The sequence below is a fragment of the Homo sapiens genome, chromosome 3 (assembly GCF_000001405.40).
Source record: "Homo sapiens chromosome 3, GRCh38.p14 Primary Assembly".
In the NCBI taxonomy this organism is placed as follows: Eukaryota; Metazoa; Chordata; class Mammalia; order Primates; family Hominidae; genus Homo; species Homo sapiens.
Window position 1 is genome coordinate 165561348 of NC_000003.12, and position 12597 is coordinate 165573944.

The following is a 12597-nucleotide window of genomic DNA, read 5'->3' on the forward strand; positions in this document are numbered from 1 at the left end:
TCAAGACTGGACTCAATCTTCTCAAACCCTGCCACAGCTTGCTCAACTAAGTTTACATGTTTTTCAAAATCCCTTGTTGTCATTTCAACAATATTCACACCAACTTTACCAAGAATAGAGTCCATCTCAAGAAACCGTATTCTTGACTCCATAAAAAATAACTTCTCACTGGTTAAATTTTTATTATGAGATTGCAGTACTCAGTTGCATCTTCAGATTTTACTTCTAGTTCTCTTCCTATGTCCACTACATCTGCAATTACTTTCCCTACTGAGGACTTGAACCCCTTCAAGTAAACCATAAGAATTTGAGTAAATTCCTTCCTATTAACATTAATATTTTGACCTCCTCCCATGAACCATGAATGTTCTTAAAGACATCTAGACTGGTAAATTCTTTCCAAAAGGTTTTTAACTTACTTTGTCCAGATCCATTAGAAGAATTACTATCTATGGCAGCTATAACCTTAAAAATGTATTTCTTTTTTATTAGTTTTTAATTTTTAAGAGTACATAGTAGGTGTATATATTTATAGATATGGTGCATAAGATTTTGATAACATTTGCTTTACAAACATTCAAATTATACTTTCAGTTACTTTAAAATGTGCAATAACTTATTGTTGACTGTAATCACCCTGTTGTGCTATCAAATACTAGATCTTATTTATTCTAATTATAATTTGTACCCATAAACCATCCCCACTCCCCTACCCCTCTATCCTTCTCAGCCTTTGGTAACCATCATTCTTCTATCTTCATAAGTTCAATTGTTTTAGTTGTTTAGCTCCCTATGAGATAAATATAACAAAGAGATTAAAATAATTTAAAAGAATCAAGCAGAAATCCTGGAGCTGAAAAATGGTATTGACATACTAAAAATAATGACAATATAACTGGAATGTTTGTAACATAAAAAAGGATAAATGCTTAAGATGATGGATACCACATTTACCATGATGTGATTCTTACATATCGTATGCTTGTATCAAAATAGTTTATGTACTCTACAAATATATACATTAACTATTTACCCACAAAAATTTTTAAAAATGCAATATCTTGGGAGTACAACTAAAAAAAACAGAATCGACCAACAGGAGACAATATTGATGAAAATACCAAATGGTTTTCTTCAAGCAGAAGTTGTGTAATATTTAAAGAAAAATCACAGATTTAGGACGAATGACGACAATAAATGTAAGGGAATCTAAACAAACAGATTATCTAAAACAATGATCATGTCATTTGAGCTTAAAATGAAAATTAAATTAAAATACATGCAAACAGCAGTCTATACATTGAGAATGTGGCAAATGGAATTGAAGTGATTTAAGATTCCTTCATTATATGGGAAGAGGGTAAGTTGTCATAAATATTATATTTTGACATGCCAAGAATAGATTTTGCAATCTTTAGGGAAAAGACCAATTATTTAAAGAACATATTTCTTTAACACCAGAGAGAAAAGAAATGGAGAAAAATATAATCCCAAACAAGGGAAACAAATAATACAAATAATTACTTAAATTACAATTTAAAGCTTGGTAAAAATAAATGCAATTATATCAGTAAGCACATTAGGTTTAAATGGACTGAATGCTGTACATTTTTTACCACCATGCCTGGATAGTTTTTTTAGTTTTTGCCGAAACAGGGTCTGGTTGTGTTGCCTAGGCTGATCTTGAAATCCTGGCCTAGGTGATCCTCTTGCCTCAGCCTCCCAAAGTGCTAGGAGTATAGGCGTAAGCCACCAAGCAGCCTGCCTTTTTTGTTTTTTTTTTTTTTTTTTAGTAATTAAATTGAATTGAAAAAAAACACTGAAAATAAAGTTTCAGGGCAATAAGAGCAAAGAAACAGTGAAAATAAAAGATTACAGAATAATCCAAGAAAACAAAGCAGACACTAACTAAAAGAATGCTATTGTTGCTTTAGGGACAGCAAAAACAATAGGCTTTTAATAAAATATCTTTACCAAAAATAATAAGGATACATCATAATGATAACAAAGCATAATTCTTTAAGATATAATACTTCTAAATTGTATATACAAATGAATATATTCTCAAACATATAAAACAAAAATTGACAGAACTAAAAGCAGAAATAAAAAATTATAGAAAATTAGAAAATGTAAATAAAATGATTAGTAAATTTAATTTAAAAATACAGACTATCCAACAATAGAATGTATTTTTATTAGCTGCAACACTTATAAAACACTTTCTGGGCCGGGTGTGGTGGCTCACGCCTGTAATTCCAACACTTTGGGAAGTCGAGGAGGGCAGATCATTTGAGGTCAGGAGTTCGAGACAGCCTGACCGGCATGGTGAAACTCCATCTCAACTAAAAATATGAAAAAATTAGCTAGGTGTGGCGGCACATGCCTGTAGTCCCAGCTACTCGGGAGGCTGAGGCAGGAGAATCATTTGAACCCAGGAGGCAGAGGTTGCAGTGAGCTGAGATTGTGCGGACTGCACTCCAACCTGGGCAACAGAGCAAAACTCCACATCAAAGAATAAAAAAAAAAAAAAAAAACCCATATTCTAGTTCATATGATAAGGAAGGTAATAAGAAAAATATTTCAAAATTAAAAATACAATTTAGCTGGCTGTAGTGGCTCAAGGCTGTAATTCCAACACTTTGGGAGGCCCAGGCAGATGGGAGGATCACTTGAGGCCAGGACTTCAAGACCAGCCTAGGCAACACAGAAAGTCCCTGTCTCTGTTAAAATAATTTTTAAAAGTGCATATGTGTGTGTGTGTATCATGTAAAATATAGAAATATAAGTACAAATGAATCAGAGTTCTTCAGTTTGTATCTATGCTTCTCTCTCACACATGAATTAATGTTAAATGAGAGTGGTTTGCAATCTTTAAACTTAGAAATTCTTCATTCTCAGAAAAAAGTGATACTTTTGTAATTAGCATAAGACAAAACTTTTCTCCAAGTTTTTATTTGTATTTTCTTTTAGAAACACACTATCATTACAAGTTATATCTTTGGCATAACTTTCTCTTGAAATATGTAATAACACATGTTGGGTGATATATTTTGGTCTGAAAGTTGAATCAAGGGTTGAATCAAGGGGTAATACAGGAAATCAAATGTTAAAAAAAAAGTTTCCAGAGGCTAACTGCAGCATGAGGTATTTAATAATAAAATGTTGACATCTAAAAATATTATATTTATAACTTAAACATCTTACTAAAAATAAGACTCCTAGGTCCAGATTTTTGTGCTGGTAAATCCTATAAAATATTTAAAGAAGAAATAGTATAACTTTTACAGAACCACTCCTAGATAGTAAAAAAATATATATATAGGAATTCCTTGTTTTCTAACATCATCATAACCTTGATGACAAAACCTAAGCGCATTATAACCCCACTTCACTCATGGAAATAGAAACAATGTCATAAGGCCAGGCACTGTGGCTCACGCCTGTAATCCCAGCACTTTGGGAGGCTGAGGCAGGAGGATTGCTTGATCTTGAGCTCCTGAGCTCAAGAGTTTAGATCAGCCTGGTCAACTTGGAGAAACTCCCTCTCTACAGAAAATACAAAAATTAGACGTTTGTGGTGGCACATGCCTGTAGTTCCAGCTACTCAGAAGGTTGAGATGGGAGGATCACCACTTGAACCCAGGAGGTAGAGCCTATAGTGTTCAAATTTCCATTTGTTTCATACTTTTTAGTTTATTTGAATAAATTGCCATATTCCTATATTTAAAATTTTACAAATATTTAATATTTAAAAACAATTGAAATTATGATTTCTGTCTTTTTGTTTATTCTTTAAAATTAATTTTTGGAGAAACCTGGTTTCTCCTGCTATGATTTCTGACACTTGAGATTTTGCCATTGCATCCTCATGGTATAATTTAACATGCTCTTTTGCCCTCTCTATTTACTATCAATCAGAAGTTAACAAATAAACCACATGCTAATACCTGTAAGAAAATATAAATGGCTATACCTTGTGTTAATAATTACTAATGTGTATAAATTAAAGGCATTATTCATTAGATAAGTTTTCATTAAATTGGTAAGATATGCAAGATCTATCTATGTCCATTAAAAAGATATCTATTCTATTTGCTTGTGTTTTTTTTTTTTTTTACTGGCATCTTGTAGATACAGAACTTTATTTCATAAAGACTTAACATTCTGACAGACTGATCTCCAGTGAACAAAATATACTCCATTTATATTGTAATTACATTTAAGTAGAAAATTCAGAATTTGAATTAAAAACAAACGGCACAGAAAGATTTATGTTTCTCATTTGTACTTTTAAAAGACAAGTACAAATTTTGGAACTCAATTATTTGGCATTTTACAGTTTATTTATATGCTATAACTGAGCTCTAAAGTAATTTCATGAAGTTATAATATCCAACCGTATATATAACTTTCAGAAATTTTTGTACATTATTCTAAATATTGGCATATAAAAATTATGTAATATGCTATTGATACCATGTAAAACAGACGACAGTGAAGATTTTACAAAATAAATAAAATGTATTTCCTATATATACATATTGGATGAGCAGTTTTTAGAATTTTTTTTTTCTAATAGCTCTTCAGTAGAAACAGAAATAGCAGATGGTGAACGAGCTCCATATGTATCCACCACCTTTACTCAAGTGCCTGGCAAGGCTAAATGTTTTAGTTCATTTACATTTAATGTAATAATTGGTTTAGTTAGATTAAAGCTTATCATTTTTTAATGTTTTTTATTTGTCACATTTGATTTAGGGGTTTCTTTTTTTTCTGATTTATTTTGCATTAAATGAGGTTTTTTTTTTTCCTGTACCTCACTTTAACCCTTTCATTATTTTTAGCTATGATTTATTTCATATTTTGTGGTAGGATTAAAATATCCAAGCTTAAATTATCACAGTCCACCTTAAAACTTTAAATTAATATTTTACCACATTACACACAAATGTGAAAATCAATATAATTCCTCCTCTCTTTTGTGCTATAGTTATACAATTTATTTCTATATATTTATAAAACCAAGAATACAATGATATTATTGCTTTATTAAATTTAATTTCTATTTAAAAATAAGAAATAAGATAAAAATCTTTAAAATTAGTTCAAATATTTACTATTTATAGCATCTTTGTTCATTTTTTAATATCTGAAGTTTCCATATATATAAATTCCTTTTAGTGTGAAGAATGTTCTTTAACATTTCTCATATTTAAAGTCTGCTGGGGACTAATTCATTGTTTTTGTTTTTCTAAAACTACCACTTTTAAAGGATATTTTTACTAGATATAGAATTCTATCACCACATGGTCTGATATCCAGAATCTATAAGAAACTTCAGCAATTGAACAAGCAATAAACCATTAAAAAAGTAGGCAGAAGATAGGAACCGATATTTCTCAAAAGAAGATATACAAGTGGCCAGCAAACATGAGAAAATGCTCCACATCATTAATCATCAGATGAATGCAAATCAAAACCAAAATAAGATACCATGTCACATTAGTCAGAATTGCTATTATTAAAAAGTCAAAACAGATGCTAACAAGACTGCGAAGAAAAGAGAATGCTTATACACTGTTGGTGAGAATGTAAATTAGTTCACCCACTATGGAGAGCAGTTTGGAGATTTCTCAAAGAACTTAAAACAGAGCTACTATTTGACTCAGCAATCCCATTACTGTGTACATATCCAAAAGAAACAAATTGTTTTACCAAGAAGACACATACACTCACACGTTCATCACAGCGTTATTCACAATAACAAAGACATGGAATCAACTTAAATGCTCATCAATGGTAGACTGGATTAAAAAAATGTGGTACATAGACACCATGGAATACTACACAGCTATAAAAAAGAATACAATTATGTCCTTTGTAGCAACATGAATGAAACTGGAGGTCATTATTTTAAGTGAATTAACACGGGAACAGAAAAGCAAATATTGTATGTTCTTACTTATAAGTGGGAGCTAAACATTAGATACTCATGGACATAAAGATGGCAACAATAGAAACTGGGGCTACTATCGGGGGAGAGAAGAAGGAAAGGGTTGAAAATCTAATTACTGGGTACTATGCTCAGTACCTGAATGATGGGATCATTTATACCCCAAACCTCAGCATCATGAAATATATTTAGGTTAGCAAAACTGTACATATACTCCCTGAATCTTAAATAAAAGTTGGAAAAGCAAAAGAATTCTGTCAAGATATTTGTTTTCCCTTTAGTACCTTAAAAATGTAGTTCATATCTTCAGGCTGTATTATTTCTTATGAAATGTCTGAATTGTTTTTATTGTTCCTTTGTATGTAATGTTTGTTTTGACACTAATTTAAAATTTTAAAATTTGTCTTTGGTTACAGAAACTGACTGTGATATGCCTATGACTGATATTCTTTGTACTAATAAATTAACATGTTTTATCAAATTTAGAAAATGTTTGGACGTTATATCTTCAAATATTTTTATCCTTTAATAGCTCTATTATCTGGGAGAGACACAGATGCACACATTTTCTACAGCTTAATTTTACATAAGAAGTCACTGAAAGTCTTATCATTGTATTTTTTGTTTTTTCCTCTTTTACTTCGGTTTGGATGGCTTACATTAACCTGTTTTTAACTTCATTGATTATCTATTCTGCAGTGCTTAATTTCTTGTTGAGTTCATCATTTTTGTTATCATAAGATAAAAGCTTAAAAACCCAAGAAAAACAACTCTTTTCAGGTGCAACAGATAATTGAGATCAAGGGGCAAACTACTGCCCCCAAATCTGGTGAGAGAGGCATACAGAGAATGACATCTTACTGGAAACCGAAGTTCAACACTGGAGCCAGTGGTATAGAAACACTTAAACTGTAATTGATGAATTATAGGAGGCGTAATTTGAATTAGTTTAAGAATTAACAATTTCAGAGAGTCCAGTCTTAGCTGGGCCACCACACTTCTAAGTGTTTTTTTTCCAGAATGCCACTGGGTTCTCACCTTAAAGATTGAATACAAACCTCCTCATACATCCAATAGGCATAGGAAAAAGTAACCACTTTGAAATATGTCCAGATAATTCTCTTTTTTGTTGTTCTGTTCTTGATAACGACAATGAGCCCTCTCTCCAGCCCACCCCCAGCTTTCGCCATGTAGCCTGAACAGAGCAGAGATTAGAGGAAACTGTAACTTGTGAGGAATGTAATTTAACCTTTAAAAAGAAGGAAGTTTTCTATATGCATATGCAAAAACATGGATGGACATGAAGGACATTATGCTAAGCGAAATAGATAGTAACAGAAAGATAATTGCTGCTTGATTATGCTTAGGTACCTTAAATAGTCAAACTCAGAAACAGAAAGTGGAAGGCTGACTGCCAGGGGCTGGCTGGTGGGGAAACAGGGATTTATTAAAAAAATATGTCAGTTACACGAGATGACTAAGTTCAGATAATTGCTGTACAACATTGTACTACTTAACAATGCTGTATTGTTAAAGCATAGTTACAAATTTGTTAAGAGGGTAGATTTCAAGTTAAGTGTTCCTAATGCAGTTTTAAAAAGTAAAGATATTTACTTATAACAACAACAACAAAAAAAAAAACAACAGCCCTCAAGGAAAACTACTTTACTGGAGTATTATCTGAAATGGAGAATAGCAACCCTGTCTATGCTTCCTGTATCACTTCAGGGGAATAAACACGCTGAGGATAATTTCAAAAGTCATATCTCAGTGGTACAGTCTCACCAGCAGGTTAAAATATAATCATAGGACTACAGCTTCTTTCCTTCTCCAACACCTACAACCACTTCAATGAGATTTCTGTACAATAATAGATTATTACTACTGAAAGAACTACAAGTCTCAGTCTTTTTTTTTTTAAAGAGGTCTCTAGGGACACCCAAAGATAACAAAGAAAACAAAAACTAATACACCAGAGGAAATTTTAGTTTCTGACACCCACAGCTATTGCAGGCAGTATACAGCCTAACTCCTAGGCAGACAAACATAAAAACTCACACTCAAGTCTAATTTACTCCAGATCTATTTTGGAACATCAGATCTAGCTTAAGAAAACAAAAAACAAACAAACAAAAAACTATAACACATACTAAAAGACATAAAACACCGTTTGCTGTGACAGAGAAAGCATTACAATAAGACTTAGAAATACATGGAAATTATCAGACAATTTAACTATGTAATCAAAATTATACTTACATAACCATGTATGCTAAAATTACTCAAGGCAAAAGTGAAAAATATGCACGAATAGATGTGTAGCAAAGGCAGAGAAATTGAAACTCTAAGAAAGAATTCAAAAGAAAATGCTAAGAAAAAATGCTGTAGAGAAATAAAGAATATTTCAGATTGGTATAATCGTACACTGCAGATAACTGAGCAGTCATTTTGAAGACATGTCAATAGACACTTTCTGAACTGAAAATTAAAGGCAAAAATAATGAAAAAGATCAGAATATTCAAAAGTTATGAGACAAATAAAAAATACTGTATGCATAATAAAATTATCAGGGGAAGAAGGAAGAGAGAAATGAGCGGAATAAATATTTGCAGTAATATTGGCAGAAAAAATTCCAAAATAAGTGACAAACCTAAACCGCACATCTAGAAGGCTCAGACAACACCAAACAGGAAAAATATCAAAAAGTCTACACTTAAGCATGTAATATTTAAACTGCAGGAAACCAATGACAGAGAAAATCTTAAAAGATGCTACAAGAAAAAGAAAAAAAAAAGCAACAATAAAAAACAAAAAAAAACACCTTACCTGTAGAGGAAGAAGAAAAAGACTGTCATTGGTCTTCTCTTCACAAACCATGCAATTGAATGGAGTAAAACATTTAGTATTAAAGGAGGAAAAAACTTCCAACCTAGAATTATTTACCGAGTAAAATTATCCTTCAAAAAAGAAGAAATACTTTCTCAGACAAATCAAAACTGAGGAAAATTGTCACCAGTAGACCTGCCTTGCAAGAAATGTTAAAAGAAGTTTTGCAGACACTAAGAAAATGATGTAAGTCAGAAACTCAGATCTTCATAAACAAAAGAGCATTAAAAAATAAAAGTAAATAAAAGCTTATAATTGTCTTATTAATTAATCTAATAGATAACTATTTGTTCAAACTAATAACAGTAATAATGTATTGGTTGAATATAGCTTATTTATAAGTAAAATAAATGACAGCAAGTACAGGAGGGAGAAATCAGGAAAATTCTGTTAAAAGGAACCTGCATTATCCATGAAGAGGTACAGTGTCACTTGAAAGTGGACTTAGTTATAAATTGATACTAGAAACCATAAGGAAATCACCAAAAAATTAAAAGGAAGAATAATCTATATGCTAAGAGAGAAGAGAAAGTGAAATCATATATATGCTAAACCAAAGCCAAAGAAGACAGGAAAGAGGGAAATATTAAAAAAAAAAAAAAAAAGGAACAAGTGCAAAGACTGGAATAATAAAAAAGGTAGATATTAATACAATTCAATCAATACTTACTTTAAATGTGAGTGGTCTACATACGAAAATTAATAGACAAAGAATGACAGAGCAGATAGAAAAAAGAGCTAATCATCGGTGTACAGAAGAAACCCACTTTAAATATAAGATGAAGAGAGATGCAAAAAATATGAATCTGGACACTAACTTTATATGTTTCAAAAGTTTAATTGAAAATGAATGATAAACCTAAGCATAACATGCAAAACTGTAAAATTTCTAAAATATAACATAGGGAAAATTCAGGTGACCACACTGCAGATTGGTGGAATCATCCACCAAAAGCTTGACCCACGACAAAACAATGTAAGAAGTTGGATATTATTAAAATAAAACAAAAAAATTCTAGTCTATGAGTGACATTGTTAAGAATATAAAGATACAAGCCACATTCTAGGAAAAATATTTGTAAAAAAATATATATATATACCTGATAAAGGACATATATATATGTGTGTGTGTGTATATATATATATGTGTGTATATATATATGATAAAGTACATATATCCAAAATGCAAAAGAATGTGAAAAGTTTTCAACATCATATTTCATCAGGAAATTGTAAATTAAAACAATAATTAAAAATATATACTCCTATAAATGCAGATGAGCCTGAAGAGCAACAGGAATTCTCATTCATTGCTGCTGGGAAAGCAAGGTAGTTCAGCCACTTTGGAAGACAGTTTGACAGTTTTCTACAAAACTAAACATGTCTTACCCCGCAGTCCAACAACTGTTCTACATATTTACACAAATGAGTTGAAAATATATCCATACAAGAACCAGTACACAAGTGTTTATGGCAGCTTAACTCATAATTACCTCAATCTGAAAGTGACCAAGATGTACTTCAAAATATGAAAGGATAAAAAACTAGTATATCCATACAATGGAATATTATTCAGTGATAAAAAGAAATGAGCTATCAAGATATGAAAAGACATGGAAGAACCTTACACGAACATTTCTAAATCAAAGAAATCAGTCTGAAAAGCGACATACTATATGATTCCAACTATACGGCACTCTGGAAAAGGGTAAACTATAGGAATAGTAGATCAGTGGTTTTCCAGGGACTTGGGGGAAGGAGATGAATGATTAATAATTGGAGCACAGTGAAATTTTAAGAGTAAAACTTTCTTATATAATACCATAAAGTTGAGTACATGACATGCATTTGTCAAAATCTATAGAACTGTAAACACAAAGAATGAAACAATGTAAACTATGTAGTTTAAATAATAATTATGTGTTTATATTAGTTCATCAGTTGTAACAACTATACCACACTAATACAAAATGTAAATAATAGAGGAAACTGTGAGAAAGGGTTAGAGGGGATTTATAGGAACTGTATCAACTGCTCACTTTTCTCTAGGCAAAAATCTGTTCTAGTATATAAAGTCTAAAAATTAAGAAAAAATAAAAAGTCCAAAAGAATTTCAGTGCTCATAATAATAGAATAGCTTCGGGAGGAGCCAAGATGGCCGAATAGGAACAGCTCTGGTCTACAGCTCCCAGCGTGAGCGACGCAGAAGATGGGTGATTTCTGCATTTCCATCTGAGGTACCGGGTTCATCTCACTAGGGAGTGCCAGACAGTGGGCACAGGTCAGTGGGTGCGTGCACCGTGCGCAAGCCGAAGCAGGGCTAGGCATTGCCTCACTCGGGAAGCGCAAGGGGTCAGGGAGTTCCCTTTCCTAGTCAAAGAAAGGGGTGAAGGACGGCACCTGGAAAATCGGGTCACTCCCACCCCAATACTGAGCTTTTCCGACGGGCTTAAAAAATGGCGCACCACGAGATTATATCACGCACCTGGCTCGGAGGGTCCTACACCCACGGAGTCTCGCTGATTGCTAGCACAGCAGTCTGAGATCAAACTGCAAGGCGGCAGCCAGGCTGGGGGAGGAGCGCCCGCCATTGCCCAGGCTTGCTGAGGTAAACAAAGCAGCCAGGAAGCTCAAACTGGGTGGAGCCCACCACAGCTCAAGGAGGCCTGCCTGCCTCTGTAGGCTCCACCTCTGGGGGCAGGGCACAGACAAAAAGACAGCAGTAACCTCTGCAGACTTAAATGTCCCTGTCTGACAGCTTTGAAGAGAGCAATGGTTCTCCCAGTACGCAGCTGGAGATCTGAGAAGGGGCAGACTGCCTCCTCAAGTGGGTGCCTGACCCCTGACCCCCGAGCAGCCTAACTGGGAGACACCCCCCAACAGGGGCACACTGACACCTCACACAGCAGGGTACTCCAACAGCCCTGCAGCTGAGGGTCCTGTCTGTTACAAGGAAAACTAACAAACAGAAAGGACATCCACACCAAAAACCCATCTGTACATCACCATCATCAAAGACCAAAAGTAGATAAAACCACAAAGATGGGGAAAAAACAGAACAGAAAAACTGGAAACTCTAAAAAGCAGAGCGCCTCTCCTCCTCCAAAGGAACGCAGTTCTTCACCAGCAACGGAACAAAGCTGGACGGACAATGACTTTGACGAGCTGAGAGAAGAAGGCTTCAGACGATCAAATTACTCTGAGCTACGGGAGGACATTCAAACCAAAGGCAAAGAAGTTGAAAACTTTGAAAAAAATTTAGAAGAATGTATAACTAGAATAACCAATACAGAGAAGTGCTTAAAGGAGCTGATGGAGCTGAAAACCAAGGCTCGAGAACTACGTGAAGAATGCAGAAGCCTCAGGAGCCGATGCGATCAACTGGAAGAAAGGGTATCAGCGATGGAAGATGAAATGAATGAAATGAAGTGAGAAGGGAAGTTTAGAGAAAAAAGAATAAAAAGAAATGAGCAAAGCCTCCAAGAAATATGGGACTGTGTGAAAAGACCAAATCTACGTCTGATTGGTCTACCTGAAAGTGATGGGGAGAATGGAACCAAGTTGGAAAACACGCTGCAGGATATTATCCAGGAGAACTTCCCCAATCTAGCAAGGCAGGCCAACGTTCAGATTCAGGAAATACAGAGAACGCCACAAAGATACTCCTCGAGAAGAGCAACTCCAAGACACATAATTGTCAGATTCACCAAAGTTGAAATGAAGGAAAAAATGTTAAGGGCAGCCAGAGAGAAAG

At 33.7% G+C, this 12597-nt stretch overlaps 1 annotated feature.

The window, feature by feature from the left end:
• Positions 11256-11850: an enhancer, noted in NCBI's record as "H3K4me1 hESC enhancer chr3:165290391-165290985 (GRCh37/hg19 assembly coordinates)". NCBI's record gives its function as "activates a minimal SCP1, AML or CMV promoter by ChIP-STARR-seq in naive H9 embryonic stem cells {active_cell/tissue: H9 hESC(naive)}" and the evidence as "EXISTENCE:reporter gene assay evidence [ECO:0000049][PMID:30033119]".